Source organism: Homo sapiens, chromosome 16 (genome assembly GCF_000001405.40).
Source record: "Homo sapiens chromosome 16, GRCh38.p14 Primary Assembly".
NCBI lineage: Eukaryota > Metazoa > Chordata > Mammalia > Primates > Hominidae > Homo > Homo sapiens.
The window spans coordinates 20455093-20480742 of record NC_000016.10 but is presented as its reverse complement, the minus strand read 5'-3'; the positions used below and the strand labels follow the sequence as shown (position 1 = coordinate 20480742).

The following is a 25650-nucleotide window of genomic DNA, read 5'->3' as shown; positions in this document are numbered from 1 at the left end:
AAAGACCCAGATTTCCCTTCCCAACCCAGAAACCAAGCTCACCCGCTGGAGTTAATGATATCATTTGCCCGTCCCATAAACTGGAAATACCCATCTTCATCTTTGATTCCCCGGTCTCCAAGGAGCCAAAAGTCTCCTCGAATGTTGGCTGCTGTCTTGTCGGGATTGTCCTGGTGACCACAGAAAGACAGAGTCATTGTGCCTGCAAAGCCTAAATCCCCTGCCCTGGGGCTGCCATGAACAAATGCTATGAGTCTTATTAAAACTGCAGGTGTGCAGTGTATAACCTGAACATGGCAGACATGCCCTGAACCAGCCAACCCTAGGCCACAGGCAGAACTGGATCTTTCCCATTTATTGAAGTTATTCCACCCAGGGTCTCTCAGCTACTCCTCTAGGTCCAGTCTGATAGATATTATTGATGTATTCATTCATCCATGCTTAGGGCATTTTCCCCAATTGATTCCATCTCTCCTTTCATAGATATCCTAATCTCTGCTCACTCCATAGCACCACTCAAAGCTATCATTTTGATTAGGTAATTTTCTTAGCTTCTTTGTTAAATTTGAAAGTTCTAGAGACATTAGCCAGGAAGCCCCCTGGGACCCTGGCTAATGTGCATATTTCTACAATAGCTGGGTCCGTCTATTCAGCTGAGGCACTTGCTTATAAGCAATGAAAAGGCTTGAGGTTTATCCCTTGTCAGTGCATCTTCCTATCTGACTCAGGTATAGGGGCATGGGCTCCAGACTGGAAGTTCAGTTACTGGATTATATATGGTGGCATAAAGGATTCTTAGCCTCACTCTATCATTGGGAATATAGGGATACTGATGACCAGAGACATCAAGAGGTTAGTCTGAAGCTAAACAGCCATTACAGAAGGTAGAACTGAGACCAGAAGCCAGGTTTCTTGGCCACTGGATTGACTTTCTCATGGGCATCATGGAGCCTCTGTGGCCTTAGGAGTCTGCCCCACAGACGCTTCTGAGTCTGTTTCCTTTTCTGTCAAATGGGGAGAAGCCCATGACATAGTACTTCACTGGCATTTGAGAATAGAGTGGGACCACACAAAGGAAATGCTTGGAGAAGGGGACAGTGTGGCTCTGCCCTGATCACTGAGGCTCAGTTTTCCTCATCTGTATAATAGGAATAATCATTTGGATCTACAACAATTCTTTTATTTAACACACTCACGACACACAACTTACAGATGAGGAAACTGAGACATGACAGATAGGTAACTTCCCTAAGATCATGCAATACATAGTAGAGCAGGGTTTTGAACTCGAGCAAACTGAGTCCAAAAACTTTATAGGGTGGCTGGGAGGATTAAACGAGTTTAAAGTTTAAATGAGTTTAAAGTTTAAAGATTAAATGTGTTTATAGGACAATGCTTGCCTCATGATATGCATTCAATAAATGGTAGAAACTATTATTATTTGATTTATTGTTTATTTAGTTTATTAATCAATTCTCTCAGGGATCAGAAGGCATGCCCTTGGGGTCTTCTCTGTCCACTTTCTAATGGTTGTGAGCTTGAGCAAGTCTTGTAATCTCTGGCTCCACCATCCTCACCTGTCAAGTGAGGTGGCCAGATTCAAGGATTATCTGTCTTTACCTTCCCAAGATCTGAAGATAGGGATTCCTCCAACTAGATGGTGAAGTCTTACTGTAAAGTGCCTGGCATGGCTCTAAAGAAGATCAATGGCATAGAGCATGGGGATGATACCTAGGGGAGAGGGAAAGGCAGCCCTTGGGGGAATGGTGCTGTGTATAGTTCAGGGTCAATAATATTTTGGGCATGAAACAGAGAGTTCTTGAGGAGTCTAAGGGCTAACTGAAGAAAAATAAGTCTTCCAATGAGATCACAGTGATAGGCTGAGGATGGCAAGGCTGAATAGCCACTTTTCTTCCACTGGCAAAGCATACATTCTTGAAAACTGGACAGTCTTTGTCTCCACATCTAGTGCCTCTTGGAAGTTTCAGAACATTTGTCCTCCCTCATCCCGTTTAGTGCTCCCATCCTCACTGGGGAACAGAGGAGGAGGAGCACAGTTTCTCACCACATAGCCAGAGAAGATGCCTATAGGCCTGATGGGTTTGACCCTGATGCCAATGTCTCCTTCTGTGCCGGGGGGCAGGACGTTGCCCTTATCATCTATGATCTGGAGAAAGAAGCAGATTGGAAGAATGATGCACACAGCAGGAGATGGCTTCAATGGCATCATGAGATTGCTGAATTGGTCAAATGAAAGACCCTCTTGCTCTAGTGGAGACTGAAAACAACAACCAGAAGCCAGGGGAACCCAAGAGTCTTAAACTCAGATCTCTGATCTATCTGCCTGGAATAGTTTAGGTGAATCCTTTTATTGAGACTGGCCCAGATGAGCCTGGGGAGATGCTTTTGGCTCTAGGAGCTCAGATAAAGTAATAGCCTCCTCTTATCTTTGAGACCTGCCTCACCTGTGGACTTAGAAATCGGGCAGATCAAAACTCAAATTTACTCTGCTACCTTACTAGCTGACTTTGAACTACTTAAACTCTGGGCTTCAGTGCTTTCGCCCATAAAACAGATACTGACAGCTTATTTCACAGGATTTTTATAGGAATGAAATAAGATACTAAGAAAGGGGCTTAGCAAATGGTTATCATAGTGAATGGCATGGCAAGTAACTGGATATGACACTGAATAGAGTCTAAGTTACACTTTAGATATACAGAACTATACACATAACACAGATACACAAACACAAATTCTAGTTCTCAAAAAACAACAAGAGAAAGCAATAAAACTTTAGCTACTACACATTCATTATAGTGTATTTTTACTAGTGAAAACTGGGACATCATCCCTTGGTCCAATAAAAGGCATAAACAGCAGTGGATATATACTATTTACTACATCATTAAAAATCATGCTGCAGGTTGGCATTAATTGAACTGAAAAGATCCTTACCTAAATTGTTAAATGATAAAAGCTAGTTACAAAATATTATGTCAAGATTCACCCCATTTCTGTTTTTAAAGCATATATACTTGTGTACTGTCTAGCTAATTTGCTAGCTATTCAAAGTGGGTCCTTCTGGATGGTAAGAATATAAATCATTTCCCCTTTTCCTCCTTCCTTCCCTCACTCTTTCCTTCCCCCAACCTCCCTACCTCCTTTTTTTCTTATGTTATCTTAATATCAGTACTTTCTATTATTTTTGACTCAATAAACAATGGAAAACATAAATCACTGAAAATCAGTGTTTCCCCTAACTTCCTCCCTCCTCAGTGTCCCGAGCAAACCTGTACATCATAACAGGAAGCAGCCGTTCCCATGTATCCTGGTTTGATTTTCATTGTCTTGGAAACCATGCAAGTTAATCCCTGTGGAAAGAAGCAGACAGATCAGCAAACCTCAGGAGGAGGTACAAGGTCACAGAAAAAGAAAAAATTTCTGCAGAGCAGGTCCTGACACTGTCCTGAACTTGGCCTGCACTTGGTGGCTCCCCCTGCTCCTCATTCCCTGGCTCTCTCCCCATTACTGGAACCACAATCCTAGGGGCTTCGCTAAATTGTTAGTTCAGGAAGCAACCCATCTACCACTCCCCAGGAAGAGGACCTAACAATCACATTATAATCTCTTTTAGGGGGAACCACATTTTAATACGACACTATGGATACCCAAAGCCCTTTCAAACTATATGGGATCACCAATATGCAATCTGTAAGGCCTAAAATATACTACTTTTATTTTTATTTTGAATTTTTGTGGGTACATAGGTGTATCTATTTATGGAATATATGAGATGTTTTGATACAGGCATGCAATGTGAAATAATCACATCATGAAGAATGAAGTATCCATTTCCTCAAGCAGTAAAATATACTTTTTAAAGTATCTCCCATGGCAGCACCAGTTCTGCTTGAACCCTGAAATGAACCTTCCCAACAGAATAACAAATGAGTGGTGGATGCCTCACTGACAGAGACATAGATTGTCATTTTCTCAGATCTAGCCTGGACAAAAGATATCACAATGACCCATCTTTTCCCGCCACCCACTGTGCTGGAAAGGGCAAGTTTATCCACCCACCTCAGAAGAGAGGCTGCTGAGTGATTAAGATCATGGGAACCTGAGTGTCCTTGTAAGCATATCCTAAACATGTCCTCCTCTGAATGGTGGGAGGCCCCTGCCAGGGTATGCTTGCCACAACTCCATTGTCCTTATTCATATTTGCAGAGCTCTTCCTGGCTCTTTCATACCACAGAGCTGCCGTCAACCTTCTGCAAAAGTTCTTCCAAGGGTACTCATTAGCCAAAGAAGGATGCAGGGTAAGAGAGTGGAGAGGAAGAGGCAAGAAGTGCTGAGAGTCACAAGTAAGAGGCACTGGAAAAAGGAGAAGAAGAGTTGGGGAAAAGTATTCCCCATGTAGTTTTGATAAGTAAAATAGTATAGAATAGCATAAATCCACATTGTGCACATGAGACCTCAAGAGTTCCAAGAAGATATGTCAGGAGGTGCAGTAAAGTCATGGTGGGTTCTTCTTCCCATTCCTCACTTCAGTCTAAGTAGCTTTGTACAGTGCTTGACATGTTTGATAAACTTTGGTCTCTGCTAAAATGTTTCCCCATCACAGAGGAATTTTCTGACTACCATATCTGATTTACCAACTTCTCACCCCATGTCATCTACTTTACTTTTTCCATCGCATTTCTCACCACCTGCCATGCTAGATATTTCTTAGTTTATTTTCTCTCTCCCCAAATCTCACTGGAATGTAATCTCCCAGAAAACAGGAACTTTGCCTTTTTTGTTCTGTGCGGAATTTTCAATACTCAGTACCTGTCCCTTCATAGAGGCTCAATAAATACTTCTCGAATAGATGAATGATACATGGTGGCTAACAATTTTTATTGTCAAAGAGAATTTTGAAGCCCAAAAAGTGCACACAGCCCATGGTTCCCCTGGGAACAGGTACCGTTTCTGTCTGGCCATAGGATTCTCGGATGTCCAGTCCTGTCTGGGCCCTCCAGTTCTCCAGAGTTTCTGGAAGAAGGGACTCCCCTACAGTGACGCAGTTCTGTAGATGGGGGAACTTGTAACTGAAGAAGAGAAATAAATGTTTGCCCTCAGCCTCCCTGGAACCAAAGTCCACTCAGGCCTAGACTGGGTTTCTGGGTGCTTTGATGATGCAAATGGCTTCATGGGGCTCTCTGTGTGCGAGAGATTCAGATAGATAGGCATGAATGTATGTGAGGGAGTCAGGGGGATGGGGCCAGACTCTCTTACCAATCCTCAAAGCCCCATCACCTGGAAAGATCCTGCTGTAGCAACATCCGGTAAACAATGGGGGCACCCATCATACTCTTGATTGGATAACTGGAGAGTGTCTGGAAGACAAGAGCCAGGTGAGACATTGGTCACCAGGTCAAATGCCAACTTATGGCTATGCACAGTGGTTACAATTGTGAGCTATGGAGTTGTAGAGGTCTGGATGAAAACCCTAGCTTGTTTACTATGTCTGATTCAGGTTAAATGAGCCCCACAACTCTCATGCACCCTGAAGACACAAATAACAGGGAAATGAATACATATTATTGTAGTGAAAAAGTCTAAGGCTAATTTGAAACATTTTTGTCAAATCCTGGATGTCTGTTCCTGCCAGTTTAAGACTTGCCCTCGTTAACACACCCCTAGGAGTAGATCACCCCCCAGCAACTAAGGGAAGATCAGCTGCCTGAGCACAGCAGCTGTCTTGGTTAAGTTCCTTAACTTTCTGTAGCCAGCTTTATAATAGATTGTTTCCAGCCTTATTTTCCTGAAAATATTTTTGGAATATATTTTAGATATAAAAGTTCTTTGAAAAGCTAAAGACATCTATAGACATTTCAAAACAAGTGCTGCAAAAAGACCTAGTACTGAATACTTGCCATGTCCTGTGTTATCTCATTTAATTTTTACAATAACCTCACGGAGTGTGTGCTATCATCCTCATGATACAGAGGGGAAACCCATGATGTACAAGGTTAAGTAGCTGCTCCAAGGTCACCTAGTCAGCAAGTAGTGGGATCATTATTTGCAGCATGTATTCCTGTCGTATAACACCATCTCCATCCCATGCTTTTCTTTATGCAGAATGTAATAGAGTATTGTCTTAATCTGTTTTCTTTTGCTGTAACTGAGTACCGGAGACTGAGTAATTTATGAAGAAAATAAATTTATTTCTTGCAGTTCTAGGGGCTGGAAAGTCCAAGGTCAAGAAGCTGCATCTGGTGAGAGCCTTCTTGCTGTTGGGGACTCCGCAGAGTCCCAAGGAGGGTCGGGGCATCACATTGTAAAGGGGCTCACGAGGTAGAGCAAAACTGGCTTTTTATATAACAGACCCACTCTCCAAAACTAACCCACTAACAGGATAACCCATTAATCCATTAATCCCTCATGAGGCCCAATCATCTCTTAAATGCCCCACCGCTTACTACTGTTACACTGGGGATTGAGTTTGTTGATGAAAGGAGCCAAACTCTGTAAAACATTTGAAGAGATTTATTCTGAGCCAAACATGAGTGACCATGGCCATGACAGAGCCCTCAGGATGTCCTGAGAACACGTGCCCAAATTGGTCAGGGTGCACCTTGGTTTTATACATTTTAGGGAGACATAAGACATCAATCAAACACATTTAAAAAATACATTGGTTTGGTCCAGAAAGGTGGGGCAACTTGAAGCGGGGGCTTCCAGCTTATAGGTAGATTTAAATTTTTCTGGTTGACAATTGGTTGAGTTTATCTAAAGACCTGGGATCAATAGAAAGGAATGCCTTAGTTAAGATAAATAATTGTGGAGACCCAAGTTCTTATTTGCAGAGGAAGCTTTTAGGTACTGGCACTAGGCTTTAGACAGAACAGGTTGTAATCTTTTTTTTTTAATCAGACTTAAAGTCTGTATTGATGTTAATACCAGAGAGGTATAATGAGGCATGTCCCACTCCCACTTCCTATCATGGCCTGAAACAGTCTCTCAGGTTAAATTTTAAAAGAACCCTGGCTAAGGAGGAAGTCCATTCAGATGGCTGGCGGGATGGGGCCTTAGGATTTTATTTTTGGTTTACAAGTTTCATCATGAGTTTTGGGGGGCACAAATATTCAAACCATGGCAATGGTTTAAGCAAAAGGTCTAGAAAAAATGACAAATGTGAGTATCATGCAATAATTTCCTTCAAGTGTGCTTGATACACAGATATAAGCTATGAAAATGATCCCATATTCCTTATTGCTTTGCCTTACTAGAAGCTCAGCTTGTAACTACATACTCATTTGCTATATTTCTCCTTAATTTCCTTAGTCTTTTCCACCCTACACCTCCAACCTAAATTTTCCCAATGGGCTTTATAATTTTATGTCTGTTTTCATTTTTTTAATGGTGGAACTTAATAAAAACCAGTTCAAGTCCTTTTGAGAAGGACACAGAGTAAGAATTTGCTTAAAACAGAGAATGACAGTATTATTTGAAGATAATTTCCTATGAAAATCCAGATCACACCTGACTTTTTGACTTTTGAAGATGTCATCTATGCCTTAGCTTGAACCTTTGCTGCAGCCAAATAGATGTCTGGATGGGCCATTAGAGATCTGGGGGCACAGCAGGGAAATAACCCAATCCCTCTATCATAGAGTCCAACATAGGGTGTATCTTCATAAGCAAAATGAGGTCATTTTCATTGCTTTGTTGCTACAGGATAATGCATAGCTGCAGTCTGTGGGTCTTACTTAATGGCTGTACCATCAAGTTCTACAGGAAAAAATTCCATTTATTCTTCTGAATTGCTTCTAGAAAACCATCTTAAATTGGAAATAACCCAAAGTTCATTAACAATAGGATGGGGGAACATTTTTACAGATTCACATAATGAAATACTTTGCAGCCAGCTAAAACAACAAACATCTGATACATGCAACACGTGGACTAATCTCACAGAGAATATTTTGAGTAAAAGAAGCCAAATGCAAAAGATTACATATAATTTGGCTCCATTTACATGAAATTCCAAGAAGAGATAAAATTAATCTATGGTGATAGGTATCAAATGAATGATTAACTTATGGGGGGCAGATGCTGTCAGAGAAGGGGTATGAACACCTTCTGCAGTGGTGGGAATGTTTCATGTCTTTATCTGGTGGTGTTTACAGGGGTGTCTGATATGAATTGGATGTTGTGTCCCCACCTAAATCCCTATATTAAAGCTCTAACCCTCAACTTGATGGTATTTGGAGGCAGGGCTTTTAGGGGTAATTATGCAAGGTAATGAAGCAGGTGCCCCAGTGATAGCATGAGTGCCTTTATTTGTAAAAAGGAAGATATACCAGCACTGTCTCTCTCAACCATGTGAGAATATAGCAGTAAGGGAGCCATCAGCAAGCCAGGAAGAGAGGGCTTCCCCAGGAATCCAATTATGCTGGCACCCTGATCTCAGACTTACAGCCTCCAGAGCTATGAGAAGTAAATGTCTGTTATTTAAGCCACCTAGACTATGGTATTTTATTATAGTAGCCCAAGCTGACTAAGACAGTATCTAACACAGCTAAATTATTTTCAAACTGTACACATAGGATGGTGGCACTCTGTGTACTTTACCTTCAGTTTGTGTGTTATGCTGCAAATAAAAAAGGAAATGAAATGTGCACTCACAAACACACACACACACTCATGAGAGCGAGATGGCATCCCCTCCAATACTCCAGCTTTCCCTTTTACACGTGGTTCACCAGCATCTATCTGATAGGTGACACCAGCGGAAGAGCCCGTTACATTTGTTGAGTGAACAAATGACCTACAATATCTTTCTCCTGAACATACTCCTTTTATCTATATATGTGCCTCTCTCCTACCCCAGAACATGAGCTCTGTGAGGTCAGGGACCATTTCCATCTCGTTTACTGAACACTGTTCACCACATGGCAGGGGTTTAGCAAAAATTAGATGAATTGAAACAAACTACAATAAATTGAAGTGTGCAAACCTCGGGCTCACTCTGAATAACTGCTGCAAACTGGATCCTCTCTTACCTTTAGAATAACCAGTGGGTCAAACTTTGGCAAGAGATGAACAAATGTGCATGCTCCTAATGCCCAAGGTTCCATAAGTGAGCACAAGATGTTCAGTATCCAACCTGTGTCTGATATGGTCCACATTATATCAGAGGCTTGCAGGCCTGTCCAACTGAAAACACAGACAAAACACATGTACATATAGGTGGGTGCATGCTTAGGATGCGTGGGACACTAAGGTGTAGGGGAGGAAAGGGAGGTGTGTGTGCAGAGGTGTGTGTGTATCTGCCTGCAGGTTTATAGGCATATGTCTATGTATAAGTAGGAAGGGGGAAGAAAAGTTGTTCTATCCACACATCCTGTATCAACAGGAGATGAATGTTCAGAAGGTGGGACCCCGGTTGACCTGACTTAATATATAATTGGGTCTCATTCTCCTTCTAACTCCAAAACTCATGTAATTCTCTGTAGAGAGAAAGAGCTCAGCTTACCCAGCATCCATCTTGGCCTTGAGGCCCAGGCTCGAGTAGGAATGTTCTGCCATCTTGGGAAGACCACTGGTCCCACTAGTGAAGTAGATGGCAGATGCTTCCTGGCTTCCAGTCTCCACACAGTGATGAGTGGTGGATGCCTCACTGACAGAGACACAGATTGTCATTTTTTCAGAGCTAGACTGGACACCAGATATCAAAGTGACCCATCTTTTCCCACCACCCACTGTGCTGAAAAGGGCAAGTTGATGGACCCACCTCACAAGAGAGGCTGCTGAGTGATTAAGATCATGGGAGTCTGAGTCAATCAGAGTTGGGTTTGAAAACTACTGAAGTTTCACACTTTGTTATCAATGCAACCTTAAACTACTTATTTAACGTCTCTGTGTCTGACTTTATATCTGCAAAAAAAGTGAGATCAAGTCTTATAGAGTTATCTCTACCACCAAAGAAATGAGCAAATTGCTTAGTAAGAACTCAATAAATGCTAATCTAATTGTTGTGAAGAGCTCTGGCATGACACCAAGTGGACAGGAGGGGTGGAATTAATACAAGTTTTCCAAGTACTTTCTTGGCATTCTCTTCTATTCCCTGGAAGCACCTACATATCTCTTGGACATCTCCAGTGTCCTGATTTTGAGCCTTTAAAAGCAGGCATGATGGTGTTTATTTCCATGACAGCTACCTTAAAGACCATGGCATTAGAAAGGAAAAGCTGAAGTTATCCCTTCAAGTTTCCTATCATATGTGCCCCTGCTAGAGGGATTTCAGACATGTTGACAGAGAAAATCATTAATCCAGCCAGTCTTGCTATCGGCTTTTGGAAGGACTATCAAGGTCTTTCCATGCTATCAACACATGGAAAGTCCTCTGCCCTTGATCAGCCTCTCTTAGAGATACAAGAGGTGGAAAGAAGAGCCCAGAAACTTGGTATATCAGCCATCTCTTGGGTTTTCCCTCATGACCTTGGCCTCACCCCTGATTTGAGTCATAGTTCCAGTAAATTGTTCTGGGTGGGTTTCAACCCACTTGGTGTTAACATCATGTTGTTTCCAGTGTGCATCACAAGTGATTCACTTTGTGCCCCATAGTTTCTCTGTTTTACCATAGCATGGAACTCTGAGCCACTCTTCACGCATGAGTGCGCAGCCCAGAAGTGTGGAGGCAATAACACCCCCAGGACAACCCTGAACCTGTGGGGACCAGATGCTAATGGATCAGTGCTTTTCAATCCTTTAGAGGACAATCCTGGGAGGCATTCTATATGCTGCTCAGAAGGTCCAGGCAGATCAAGCCCCATTTAGTCCTTGCAATGATTTGAAAAAAAAAAAAAAAAAAAAAAAATACCCTTGTGTTAGCTTTTATTTCTTCCCAGCTTCACTCTTCCTAGTCCCATGCTGTTCTTTCTGCACCTCCTCAATAAAGCACCTGCACCTAAGTGCTTGGCTCTGTTTCCAGTTTTAGTTAAAACCCAGGCTGAGACATGTAGATACTCACTTTAGTAGTTTCTTGAAGTTCAGCCACCCATCACAGCTTTTCTCAGACACCAGTAGCTTAATTCTCAGAGAAGGACATTCAGATGCCACTGTGTCCACTTCTTGGATGACTTCATCCCCAGCAACAATAGCCTTGGCCTTAGACATCTGCAACCTATACAGTATGTCAGTGGATTTCATCTGGATGGTTCCAGGCATAAAGATGAGACCTAAAGAAGCCAACAATTTAGAGAATTGGAAAGGATGATTTTCTTTGTCCCTAGAGAAGCCTGAGATAAACATCAAGCAGCGAGCAAGTGGGGAAGGAGAGGATGAGGAAGTAATGACCAATAGAGAGTGTCAATAAAAAAGGGAACTAAGGACAAGGGAGTGAATGAAACCTAGGATTCCCTGGGTTGTCAGAGTCTTAAGGGCCCTACTGAGACAAAGAAAAGAAATTGAATTGCTAATGTCACATTGTTGATAGTCTAAGACACATACAATTCTCCTCACCCACTCTCACCCCTCAAAAAAAATTTTCTACAGGAGTTTGCTGTATTCAAAACTCTCATATGATAATTAAAGAATCATGAGGAAAGGCACTTGGAACTGTCCATGGTCTTGAAACACCAATAGCTCTAGGTCCTGGCAATTTATTTCATCCCTGGGACATTAAATGCATTTTTCTTAGATGAGAGTGCCTTCAGTTTTACATATCTATGTACACACAAAGTATAGTTGTATATATTTATTGGGTACAAAGTGGTATTATAATTTTTGAAGACAATGTGAGATGATTAAATTAAGCTAATTCACATATCCATCACCTCAAGTATTTAACATTTTTTTGTGATGAGAACATTAGAAAGTTTTGCTCTTAATGATACTGAAATTTACAGTACTGAATTATTAGCTGTGTTTAGCATGCTGTACAATTTATCTTAAAACATTAGACTTATTCCTTGCACATAAATGAGGTTTTATACCCCATGATTATCACTTTCCTAAATTCTTGTTCTTGTTTCCTATTTTAATGAGACTCCTTTGATTATTAAAATATTCTGTAGAATAACTAGACTTAGGGCCAGGTATGGTGGCTCATGCCTGTAATCCTAGCATTTTGGGAGGCCAAGGAGGGTGGATTATTAGAGGTCAAGAGTTCAAGACCAGCCTGGCCAACATGGCGAAACCCCAGCTTTACTAAAAATACAAAAATTATCTGGGCTTGATGGCACACGCCTGTAATCCCAGCTACTCAGGAGGCTGAGGCAGGAGGATTGCTTGAACCTGGGAGGCAGTGAGCCAAAATTGCACCACTGAACTCCAGCCTGGACTACAGAGGGAGACTCCGTCTCAAAAAAATAAAAGAAAGAAAGAAAAGAACAGAATAACTACACAGGTTTCATTTTTTGTGAAGCTTAAACCACATGCCTGTCCTGTTAAATAGCTTTTAACCTTAGCTCACTTTCTTCCCACTCTCAACACTTTGGGATTCTCACTGCATACCTGTAAATATCCTCAAATGTTTCTCTACCATGGTGGCCAATTGAGTCAGACACAGAACAATAGACACATCTCTTCCTCTGGGTTCTCCTTTCCTTCTGGCTATAATTTCAGTATGTCACCTTTCTCTCTGGCTTGTTCTCTCTTTCCACAGGCTTCCAAGTTCCTGCAGTTGGTTTGGTCGCCTCTGATAGTTTCTAATTCCTGGCTGCATTCATGTCTTTCTCTTTACCCATTGCTTTCTCATGCTCAGCCCATTGTCCCCAGAATATGAGGTGGGTTGGAGCTTTTAGTTGGGATTAGGCTGTGTGCAAGCAGAGGTGGAAAGGGCAGTTTGTGAAGGAGGTTGCTGGAGTTTCTTGGGGTTCTTTTTGATACCACTGTACTTCTCATCCTTTTAATGTAAAAGTTGATGATTCTCAAATTTCTGTCTCCATGTCAAATTTTAGAGCCTTAAATCCAACTTGTTATCACTTCTTGAACATCACATGGACATCCTGGACTCAACATGCCCAAATTGAACTTGTGATATTTTCCTAACACACTAATACCTCTTTCTATATCTGTGTTCTTCACTCCAGTGAAAGAAAGCACCATCCACCCACTTGCTGAAATGTCTGTACTTCTCTCTCTCTCCCTCGCATCTCCTTTGAATAACCCTGTTATTAGTTCACCCCCCAATTGCCTGTTAAATCCACTTATCTCCATCTCTACTACCTCAACGAAACTGAAGCCATCACCATCGCTTCACCTCTTATCTGAGATTTCCAACCCCACTATTGTCTTCTTCATCCCATTCCCTATTGAGCATCCAATATGACCATCCAAACAGAGGAGGATCATGTCACTCAGTGCATCAATGGTTTGAGTGTCACTCAATGCATCAATGGTTTGAGTGTCACTCAATCCATCAATCATTTCCCATTCACCACTGGATAAATGTCCACAACTCTTACCAAGGACCACAAGGCACTGCCAGTTTAGCACCTGGCCACCTCTACATGTTCATTCTATTGCCACTACTTTCTTTTATGGCCTGGACTTCAGGCACATAGATATCCTTTTAGGTTCTTTTATAATTTTCAAGTTTCCCTCCTCTGTGGCTTTGAAACTGCCTTTGGAAAAATTATGACACTGAGGGAAATCTGACATAGCTGACTTCATCTTGTTTCCAACCTCACAAGCTATCTATCTTTGCTCATCCCTGGACATAGTCCAAGCTAACTATGGGAGAAATCTAACTTATAGTCTAACTTTAAAATAAAAATGATAATAGCTCTTTCCTGAAACTAACTGTGTCCGTGCTTGGAGATTGAAACTGCCTTTAGAAAAATAACAAATTTGTCACAAGGTTAGAATTATAGTTCAGGAGTCATGGAGCCAGAGGTCACAAGATTTGTAACCTCCCCAATTTCTCCTATAGATTACATCATTATGGTAAACCCTAAGTCTGGTATTTGAGGTGTTCTTCAGACCTTGCATTCTGATGGACCAGCTTGCACTACCCAGATCAGTAACTGATACCAAGAAACTAACTCAACTAGTTCTGTGATCTCTGAGGAGTTGACTCAACACAAGAAGACAGCTTCAACCCATGTTTTCATCCCCAGCCAAACCAATCAGCATTTACTATTCCTTAGCCCCTTGGAAGCCAAAGCATCCTTGAAAAACTCTAGTCTCTGATTTCCTGGGGAGGTGGATTTAAGAAACATCCTCCATCCTTCAACTTGGCTGTCTATGCAATTATTAAACTCTTCTCTACCACAACTCCTACTGTTTTCAGTGTTTGGCTTTTCTGGGAAGTGGACAAGAAGAAATCATCAGATAATTACATCTTCACATATGCTGTTCCCTTTGCTTGGCACAAGCCTCTCTATCTCTTGGCAAAATCCTACTCATCCTGCAGATCTCAGCTCAAATATCACTTCCATTGAGACTTAGTTGCTCCTCATATTGGTTAATTCAAGTCTTCTTTTAGAAAAGCATTGGCAAACTTTTTCTGCAAAGGGCCAAATAGTAAATATTTTAGGTTTTGTGGATAAGACACTCTCTTGTTCCAACTACTCAAGTTGCCACTGTAGTGCAACTGCAGCCACATATAATACTGTGTTATAATAAAACTTTATTTACAAAAACAAGCTTTGGGCAGGATTTGGCCTGCAGGTCACAGTCTGCCAAATTTATTTTTATAGATTTTAATAGAATTCTCATACCAATTATCATAATTCTGATTAAATACTTACATGTGCAATTAATAGTTTAAGAGCTTTCTCCAAAGTTCTGTAAGTCCCATGAATATGTAAACTATGTCATTGTTGTTGTTCACCCTGCATAAGTGCTTGGCACATAGTTTGCTTAAATAAGTGGAAGTAGGGAGATGTCTTTCTTCATATGATACAGGACAGCATGCTCCAAGGAGGAGACTTCTTTTGAGAGAGGTGGCTGCATTTCTCTGCTATCAGTTTTCTTCACAAGGAAGACAGTTCTCTGTCCAGGTAGTCAGTTACCAACCTGCTCGAATGCAGCCCAGGATCACCAGCCACCACTCAGGCACTCGGGGCAGCACCACTGCCACACGATCCCCACGCTGCAGGCCACAGGCTCCCGAGAGGACGTTGGCTGCCTGCTGGCTGTTTTCACTCAGTTCTCTGAAATTCCACATTAATTCCTTCCCCTTCCCATTCACCCACCACAGGGCTGGGCTTGGGAGTCGCTTGCCAGCCTGAGGAAAGAGAAGCCCTGTTGATCAGGGGGCATTGGTACACAAGCAGGTAGGATAAATTCCAAGTCTTGGGATTGCCAAGTTGGTGCTTAGTAAGGTTTTTTATCTCAGCACCTCCATACAATCTTAAAAGGTATTGAAAATTCTAAAGACTTGTTATTTATATGAGTTATATCTGTCAATATCTACCATAGTAGATATTAAAACAGAATTTTTGTAAATGTATGCTTTTAGAAATAACTGTAATAAACCCATTATATATTAGCATGCATAATTTTTTTATAATGATAAAGTAAACTTTTCAAAATGAAAAAATAATGAGGAAAGTGGCATTATTTTATTTATTTATTGCGTCTATTTATTCTGCAATTCCCTTTAACGTCTTAGTAGAAAAACATTGGATCCTCTCATCTGATTCTGCATTCACTCTGTTGTGAGTACCAACATGTACCTTCTGGAAAATGCTATTGTATACTCGTGAAAGAATTAGAATAAAAAGGCAAATATCACTTTAGATTTATTTATATATGTATCTCTATCTATTTACTTTTTTTAATTTTGTAGTAAAAATACACATAACATTTCCAATTTTAACTATTTTTGAGTGTACAGTTCAGTGGCATTAAGTACATTCTCATTGTTATGCAACAATCACCACCATCCATCTCCCGAGTTTTTCATCATCCAAAATGAAAACTCTGTCCCCGTTACACAATCACCCGTCATCCCCTCTCCCTTTAGGCCCTGATAAACACCATTCTACTTTCCGACTCTATGAATTTGACTATTCTAGATACATGATATTGTCTGAATATTTGTCCTCTCCAAGTCTCATGTTGAAATGCAATCCCCAATGTCAGAGGTGGGGCTTGGTGGGAGGTGATTGGATCATGGGGGTGGGACCCTCATGAATGGCTTAGCACCATCCCCTTGGTGATAAATGAGATCATAAGATCTGGTTGTTTAAAAGTGAGTGGCACCTTCTCACTCTCTGTCTTGCTCCTCATCTTGCCCTTTATTGTGCCTGCTCTTTCTTCATCTTCCACCATTACTGTAAATTTCTTGAGGCCCTCATCAGAAGCAGATGCCAGCACCACACTTCCTATACACTGTGCAGAACTTTGGGCCAATTAAATCTCTTTTCTTTGTAAGTTACCTAGTCTCAGGTATTCCTTTACAGCAACACAAGAACAGTCTGAGACCGAAAATTGGTACCAGAAGTGGGATATTGCTGTAAAGATACCTGAAAATGTAGAACTAACTCTGGAACTAGGTCATGGGAAGAAATCGAAGAGTTTGGAGGGCTTAGAAGAGACAGAAAGATGAGGAAAAGTTCGGAACGTCTTAGGCACTGGTTAAATAGTTGTGACCAAAATGCTGATAGAATTATGGACAATGAAATGCAGGCTGACCAGATTTCAAATGCAAATAAGGAACTTTTCGGGAACTGAAGCAAAGGTCCTCCTTCCTATATTTTAGCAAAGAACTTGGCTGCATTGTGTTCATAGCCTAGTGATCTGTGGAAGTTTTAACGTAAGAGTAATGACTTAGGGAATCTGAGAGAAGAAATTTTTAAGCAACAGAGCATTCAAGATTTGACCTGAATGTTTGATGAATAGATAATGTTGCATATACATAACAATGGAATATTATTTCAGCCTTAAAAAGGAAGGAAATTCTGACATATATTACATGGATAAACCTTGAAGACATGCCAAGTGAAATTAGCCAGACACAAAAAACCAAATACTGTGTGATTTCATTTATATAAGGTACTATATTAGGCTGTTCTTGCATTGCTATAAAGGAATATCTGACACTGGGTAATTTATAAAGAAAAAAGTTTAATTGGCTCACAGTTATGCAGGGTGTACAGGAAGCATGGTGCTGGCATCTGCTTCTGGTGAGGGCCTCAGGAAGATTACAGCCATGGAAGAAGGTGAAGGGGGAGCAGGTGCATCACATGGCAAAAGCAGGAACAAGAGAGAGAGCGTGGGGAAGTGCCATGTATGTTAAAACAACAAGATCTCTCATGAACTCACTCATAACGAAGGGGATGGTGCTAAGTCATTCGTGTGGGACCTGCCCGTATGATCCAAATGTCTTCCACCAGGCCCTACCTCCAACTCTGTGGATTACATTTCAACATGAGATTTAGAGAAAACAAATATCCAAACTATGTCACTTTGCTCCTGCCCTTCCAATTCTCATGTCCTTCTCACATTGAAAAATACAATATTCTCTTTTTTTTTTGGTTGGATTTGCCTGATATTTCTTTTTTTATTATTATACTTTAAGTTTTAGGGTACATGTGCACAACGTGCACGTTTGTCACATATGTATACATGTGCCATGTTGGTGTGCTGCACAGCTTAACTCGTCATTTAACATTAGGTATATCGCCTAATGTTATCCCTCCCCCCTCCCCCCACCCCATAACAGGCCCAGTGTGTGATGTTCCCCTTCCTGTGTCCATGTGTTCTCATTGTTCAATTCCCACCTATGAGTGAGAACATGCTGTGTTTGGTTTTTTTGTCCTTGCGATAGTTTGCTGAGAATGATGGTTTATTTTTTGTCTATTTGTTGATAGATATTTGGGCTGTTTGACCTTCCAACTACTGTGAATAAAGCTACTGTGAACATGAGTGTACACATATTCCTCAGAAACCCTGATTTTAAGTTTTTTTTGGTGTATACCCAGAGTTGGAATTGCTGAATGGGAATTCTATTTTTTAATTTTTTGAGAAAATGTTATATTGCTTTCCATAATAGCTGTAACATTTTACATACCCATCATGATGCATAAGGGTTCTAATTTCTCTGTTTTATTGTAAAATAGACCCTTCGCATATCCCCTGAAAGAGTCTCATGTATCCTCAGGGGTTCTCAGATCATAGTTTGAGAGTAATGATGCAAAATCAAAAACAAAACATGTCAGCAATTTTATTAGATATTTCAAAATTTGCCTCCATCAGAGTTATAGCACTTTTTGGTAACACATGAGAGTGTCTGTTTCCTCACAGCCTTGCTAATAGAGTTGTTAAAGATTTGTATTTTGTTCTTGCTCATTCCTGGGCATAGACCAAGCTAACTATAGGAGGAATTTAGTTTATAATTTAACTTTAAAGCAAGGATGACAACAGTCTCTTCCTGAAACCAACTCCCTTCTTGTTCAGGGACCTAAACCCCTTTGTGAAATTAATGCAATTCCACAGCATTAGAATTATGGTAGATGGTAGGGGTCTCAATTCTGCTAAGCTATAAGCATAGTTAAGCAATAACCAGCCATTGTTCCCTAGCTTGCTTACTGCTTAGGAGTCATGTAACCAGAAGTCACACTTTGTAACTTCACCAGTTGCTCCTGTAGTTAACATCACTATTGTAAAATCTAAGACTGACCTTTGAGATATTTTTCAGACATTTGCATTCTGGAAAAGTTACTGACACTACCTAGACCTGTGATTCTACAGCAAGGAACTGACTTTACCTGTCCTGTGTCTGCCTCACCCAGAAACAAACTCAGCACTTGAAGACATTTCTCACATCTCTATAATTTCATTCCTAAGCAATCAGTAGCACCCATTCCTTAGCCCCCTGCCCTCCAAATTATCTTTGAAAACCCTAGTCTCTGAGCTTTCAAGGGGGCAGATTTGAGAAATATTTCCCATCCTTCCACTAAGATGTCTTGTGATAATTAAACTATTTTTTCTGAAAGAAAAAAACAACCTTTTGTATTTGACTAACAAGACAGGTGCATAAAAGTTATTTCAGCAAAATTATCACTTGCATTACTTTTATTATGAGGGAGGGTGAGAAATTTTTATATTTAATGGCCATTTGAGTTCACTTTTTTGTGAACTATCTGTTCATATACTTTGCCTGGTTTTATAATGAGTTGCACCTTTTTATTCTTGGTTTCTACAAGCTCACTTTATATTATTAACTTTTTTGCTGTTATATGAGTTGAATATTTTCTCCATGGTTTTCATTAGTCATTTATTTTGCTAATGGTGTTATTTGTGAATGGAAATATTTTTTGATGTTTATATAGCAAATTTACTTTTATGGATTCAGAATGGTGAGTCATGGTAGTAAGGGCCTTCCTGAATATTTAAAGGGCCTTCCTCAATATTTAAAGGAAGTATAACTTTAAAAAATCCAGAAATCTAAATTTCTGTTTGAAAATTTTCAATTTTAAAATGTTGAACCTTATTTTTTTTAAGAGTACCCACACCTAGGGCCGTCTTCAGCCTAGAGGCAAGGCATTTGCAATCTCCACACTAAGACTGTTTCATAGTGTAGGGAACTTAGGACATCATGTCATAATCGTGACTCTTTTTGAGCACCAATGTATTAAGTTCACGCTGGTAGCTCCACCCCTTCCCCTACCCTAGCCAGAATGAATCCTTCCATCCTACAGAAAGAGTCATAGGACTTCAGGTGAAGGCAATTGATGGATCAGCAGTGAATGGATTAAAATTCTAGACGCTCAGGGCTGGGAAGGAAACTCAGAAATTTCTTCATCTTTTTCTTTCTTGGATGTCTCATATTGAAGCCCTTTTGATAACTGTCACCTCGTAGCTATCTTACTTGCACACCTCTATTGACAGGGACACGTGACCTAACTTTCTGGGAAGACTCAGTCTTTGTTCAGTGCTGATTTGCCCCCCACTTTTTTGAGAGAGAATCTCACTCTGTGGAGTGTGGTGGTGTGATCACAGTTCACTGCAGCCTCCAACTCCTGGGCTCAAGCAATCTTGCCACCTCAATCTCCTGAGTAGCTAGGACTGCAGGTATGTGCCACCATGCCTGGCTAATTTTGTTTTAAACATTTTTGGTAGAGACAGAGTCTCGCTGTGTTGCCCAGGCTTGATTTGCTATTATTAGATTCAAACCCGCCTCTTCTACGACCCCAGACCAAAAGTCCTCATTTCACCCTGGGAGGTCACAACAGAGCATGTGCAGTCTACATATAGTGTAAACAAACTGTGTGTTGGCTGCCTGGGAGTTACCAGGTTGCCACATTCCTGTGCCTTTCTTCCTTCCAAGCTCATGCTGTCTCTCTCCCATACCATACTGCCTTCATGGAAGACGAGTGTCTTGTCCATAGCTTATTACAGTGCCTTACATGTAATAAGTACTTAACAAATATTTACTGAATTAATGGATGAATTTTAAAAGTCAACAAAATTGTCTCACTCTGTGCCTCTTTTCCACCCCATTACCTTCTCCATGTCAGCCCAGTGATCCAACACATCACTAGCAAAGTTAAACTTGGCCGGCACTTCCTGGTGGCCCCACTGCAGGGACACCAGTTGCCTACTATTAATGTAGAGAGTGCGGCTGGACATCTGAGTACCCCACAGGGTGCAAAGTCCCTGAACTTTTCGCAGCCAATGCATATTCAGGCCTGTAAAAGAAAGAAGAGACACAGGTGAGAGCTTCTTTAACAGATTGCTCTACTGATCATCAGCAGCTTCAGGAGATTCATCCCAACCTTATAGGATTCTTCCCAGGAATTAATTTGCTGTAGTTATGAGTAAATTGGCACTCAGCATCTGTTTCAGTCTCCTTGTGGGGTGCTGTTTTCTAAAGGCATAAGAGGATACAGACCCAGTCCTAGATCCCACATCTTCAACACTTCTGACAGTTTTGTGAACGCCCATTTCCATGTAATAAATCCCCTTGTGCTTAAAATACAGTGGGTCATAGATGGGATAGTTGTTCCCAGCAATTCACTCCCTTTCCATTCTAGGATTATAAATCCCCATTCATTTTCAAGTGACTTCCCAGTGCATTTAGGAGGAAGAATATGTATCCACCTCTCATTGACTTTGGCTTGCTCATGAGATATGCTTTGGTCAACGAGATGTGAGTGTCTGGGATTCTACGGTTCATCAGAAATTCTCACATTTCTCCCCTCTGCATGAGACTTGCATAACCCAGATCATGCTGTACCTTCAGACTGGGACCCAGAACAACAAGAAATGTGGAGTTGAGCTGAGCCTAGCATGGCCACTAGCAACACACAGACCCATAGGGGAAAATATGCATGACTAAAAGCTACTAAGATGTATAGGGTGTTTGTTACTGTAGCAAATGCTAACTAATACAAGTAGCATCCTTTTCTTTAAAGTGAATCTGGACTGATAAATCCTAAATCCCAGGTCCTATCCATCTAGTGCACAGGACCTAACACAATCACTTTAGAAATTACAGCTGTCATAATTGTTGTTTCTATATAAGTTCTTTATTGGTGATTTGTGACATTGTTGTGCACCCATCACCCGAGGAGTATACACTTAACACTTACAGTATACACTTAACCCACTTTGTACCCTTTTATTCCTCACCTCCTTCCCATCATTTCCCCCAAGTCCTCAAAGTTTATTGTATCATTCTCATGCCTTTGCACCAATGTATACCCTAGCTCCCACTTATGGCTGAGAACATATGATGCTTGGGTTTCCATTCCTGAATTACTTCACTTTGAACGATGGTCTCCAATCCCATCCAGGTTGCTGCGAATGCCACTAAGTCATTCTTTTTCATGGCTGAGTAGTATTTCATTATATATATATATGTATATATATATATATATATATATATATGCATATATATATAATATATACTATGTATGTATTATATAGTATATACCTAAAAAATATAAAAAATTCTTTTTTATATATATTTATGTTTATATAATATATATATTATATATATGTAATATACATTGCCACACTCCTGTGCCTTTCTTCCTTCCAAGCTCATGCTGTCTCCCTCCCATACCATACGGACTTCATGGAAGATGATATATATATAGACAGATATAGAGATATATAGATATATTATATATCCATGAGCTTGGAATGAAGAAAGGCACAGGAGTGTGGCAAAAAATACATATATATATATATAAAAAATATATATACTATATTATATGGATATATTATATATAATATATGGGTATTATACATTTATATTGTATATAACACATTATATAATATATAATGTAATATTATGTATTATATAATAATACATATACTATATCCATATATTATATTATAAATAGTTATATATACTACATAACTGCATATACTATATATAGTATATATGGAGATATGTTATCCATAAATATATAATACATATATATCTAGATATATTAGATATATAATATATAGTATATATAGATATATAGATACAATATTTTTGGATTTTTTTTCTAGTTCTGTGAAGAATGATGGTGGTATTTTGATGGGAATTGCACTGAATTTGTATATTGCTTTTGGCAATATAGTCATTTTTACAATATTTATTCTACCCATCCATGAGCATAGGATGTGTTTCCATTTGTTTGTGTCATCTATGATTTCTTTCAGCAGGGTTTTGTAGTTTTCCTTGAATAGGTCTTTGGTTAGGTATATTCCTAAGTATTTTTTTTTTGCAGCTATTATAAAAGGGGTTGAGTTCTTGATTTAATTCTCAGCTTGGTTGCTATTAAAGTATGGCAGAGCTACTGGTTTTTGTACATTAATTTTGTGTCCTGAAACTTTGCTGAATTCATTTATTAGTTGTAGGAGTTCTTTGGAGGAGTCTTTAAGGTCTTCTAGGTATACAATCATATTAACAGCAAACAGCTACTGTATGACTTCCTCTTTACCAATTTGGAGGACATTTATTTCTTTCTCTTGTCTGATTGATCTGGCTAGGACTTCCAGTACTATACTGGATACAAGTGGTGAGAGTAAGCATTCATGTCTTGTTCTAGTTCTCAGAGGGAATGCTTTCAACTTTTCCCCATTCACTATTATGTTGCCTGTGGGTTTATCATAGATGGCTTTTATTACATTAAGGTATATCCATGGTATGCTGATTTTGCTGAGGGTTTTAATCATAAGAGGATGCTGGATTTTTGTCAAATGCTTTTTCTACATCTATTGAGATAATAATTTGATTTTTGTTTTTAATTCTGTTTATGTGGTGTATCACATTTATTGACCTGTGTACGTTAAACCATTCCTGCATCCCTGGTATGAAACCCACTTCATCATGGTGGATTATCTTTTTGATATGCTGTTGGATTCAGTTAGCTGGCAGCTAATTAAGAATTTTTGCATCTATGTTCATCAAGGATATTGGTCTGTAGTTTTCTTTCTTTGTTACATCCTTTTCTGGTTTGGGTATGAGGGTAATACTGGCTTCATAGAATGATTTAGGGAGGATTCCCTCTTTATCTTGTGGAATAGCGTCGATAGGATTGGTACCAATTCTTCTTTGAATGTCTGGTAGAATTCAGCTGTGAATTCATCTGGTCATGGCTTTTTTGTTGTCGTTGTTGTTGTTGTTGATAATTTTTGTATTACCATTTTAATCTCGCTGCTTGTTATTGGTCTGTTCAGGCTTTCTAATTCTTCCTGACTTAAGCTAGGAGGGTTGTATCTTCCCAAGAATTTATCCATCTCCTCCAAGTTTTTTAGCTTATGTGCATAAAGCTGTTTGTAGTGCCTTGAATGATCTTTTGTATTTCTGTGGTGTCGGTTGTAATATCTCCCATTTCCTTTCTAATTGAGCTTATTTGGATTTTCTTTGTTCTTTTTTTTTTTTTGGTTAATCTTCCTAATGGTCTACCAATCTTATTTATCTTTTCAAAGAACCAGATTTTGTTTCATTTATCTTTTGTATTTTTTTATCTCAATTTCATTTAGTTCTGCTCTGATCTTGGTTATTTCCTTTCTTATGCTGGGTTTGGGTTTGATTTGTTCTTGTTTGTCTAGTTCCTTGAGGTGTGGCCTTAGATTGTCTATTTGTGCTCTTTCAGACTTTTTGATGAAGGCATTTAAGGCTATGAACTTACCTCTTAGTACCATCTTTGCTGTATCCTAGAAGTTTTGATAGCTTGTGTCACTATTATCCTTCAGTGTGAGAAATTTTTAAATTTCCATCTTGATTTCATTGTTGATCCAATGATCATTCAGGAACAGGTTATTTAATTTCCACGTATTCACGTGATTTTGAAGATTCCTTTTGGAGTTGATTTCCAATTTTATTCCAAGGCGGTCTGAGAGAGTACTTGATATAATTTCACTTTTCTCAGATTTATTGAGACTTGTTTTGTGGCCTATCATATGGTCTATCTTGGAGAAAGTTCCATGCACTGATGAATAAAATGTGTATTCCATGGTTGTTGGGTAGAATGTTCTGTAAATATCTGTTAAATTCATCTGTTTTACGGTACAGTTTAAATCAATTGTTTCTTTGTTGACTTTATGTCTTGATGACCTGTTTAGTTCTGTCAGTGGAGTATTGAAGTCCCCCACTATTATTGTGTTGCTGTTTATATTATTTCTTAGGTCTAGTAGTAACTGTTTCATAAATTTGGGAGCTCCAGTATTAGGTGCATATATATTTAGAATTGTGATGTCTTCCTGTTGGACAAGACCTTTTATCATTACATAATGTCCCTCTTTGTCTTTTCTAACTGCTGTGGCTTTAAAGTTTGTTTTGTCTGTTATAAATATAGCTACTCCTGCTTGTTTATGGTGTCCATTTGCATGGAATGTCTTTTTCCACCCCCTTACCTTAAGTTTATGTGAGTTCTTGTGTTAGATGAGTCTCTTGAAAGCAGTAGATACTTGGTTGGCATATTCTTATCAATAATGCAATTCTGTATCTTTTAAATGGAGTACTTAGGCCGTTTACATTCAACATTAGTATTGAGATGTCAGGTACTATTCCATTCATTGTGCTATTTGTTGCCTGTGTAGCTTGGGTTTTTTTTTTATTGTATTTTTGTTTTATAGGTCATGTGAGGTTTATGCTTTAAAAAGGTTCTATTTTGATGTGTTTCCAGGATTTGTTTCAAGATTTAAAGCTCCTTTTAGCAGTTCTTGTAGTGCTGGCTTTCTAGTAGTGAATTCTCTCAGTATTTCTCTGTCTGAAAAAGACTGCATCTTTCCTTCATTTATGAAGCTTAGTTTCACTGGATACAAAATTCTTGGCTGATAATTTGTTTTTAAGGAGTGTGAAGATAGGGCCCCAATCCCTTCTAGCTTGTAGGATTTCTGCTGAGAAATCTGCTGTTAATCTGACAGGTTTTCCTTTATAGATTACCTGGTGCTTTTGCCTCACAGCTCTTAAGATTCTTTCCTTCATCTTGGCTTTAGATAACCTGATGACAATGTGCCTAGGCAATGATCTTTTTGCAATGAATTTCCCAGGTGTTCTTTGAGCTTCTTATATTTGGATGTCTAGGTCTTTAGCAAGGCTGGGAAAGTTTTCCTTGATTATTTCCTTGAATACATTTCCCAAACTTTTAGATGTCTCTTCTATCTCAAGGATGCCAATTATTCTTAGATTTGATCATTTAACACAATCCCAAACTTCTTGGAGGCTTTGTTCATTGAAAATTTTTTTTTTCTTTGTCT

The 25650-nt window shown here is 39.6% G+C and overlaps 1 protein-coding gene across 10 annotated transcripts in view; it reads right to left on the bottom strand.

Moving 5' to 3' along the window:
- ACSM2A (acyl-CoA synthetase medium chain family member 2A) overlaps nucleotides 1-25650 on the bottom strand; it is a 36149-nt gene that overhangs the window by 6927 nt on the left and 3572 nt on the right. For 4 of the 10 annotated variants that reach the window (NM_001308954.2, XM_017022923.2, XM_047433591.1 and 1 more), the window contains 10 exons: nucleotides 20452-20636; nucleotides 15016-15226; nucleotides 11024-11231; nucleotides 9527-9670; nucleotides 9054-9207; nucleotides 5302-5381; nucleotides 4970-5093; nucleotides 3294-3374; nucleotides 2066-2167; nucleotides 43-170 (listed from right to left, as the gene is read on the bottom strand). In NM_001308954.2, the coding sequence (NP_001295883.1) occupies nucleotides 43-170; nucleotides 2066-2167; nucleotides 3294-3374; nucleotides 4970-5093; nucleotides 5302-5381; nucleotides 9054-9207; nucleotides 9527-9670; nucleotides 11024-11231; nucleotides 15016-15226; nucleotides 20452-20628 (1409 nt within the window). In that variant the 5' untranslated portion in view covers nucleotides 20629-20636. Of the gene's footprint in view, nucleotides 1-42; nucleotides 171-1440; nucleotides 1732-2064; nucleotides 2168-3293; nucleotides 3375-4969; nucleotides 5094-5280; nucleotides 5382-9053; nucleotides 9208-9526; nucleotides 9671-9784; nucleotides 9896-11023; nucleotides 11232-15015; nucleotides 15227-20451; nucleotides 20637-25650 lie in introns of those variants that run through there. The other 6 variants (NM_001308169.2, XM_017022925.2, XM_017022924.3 and 3 more) reach the window with 5 other exon arrangements.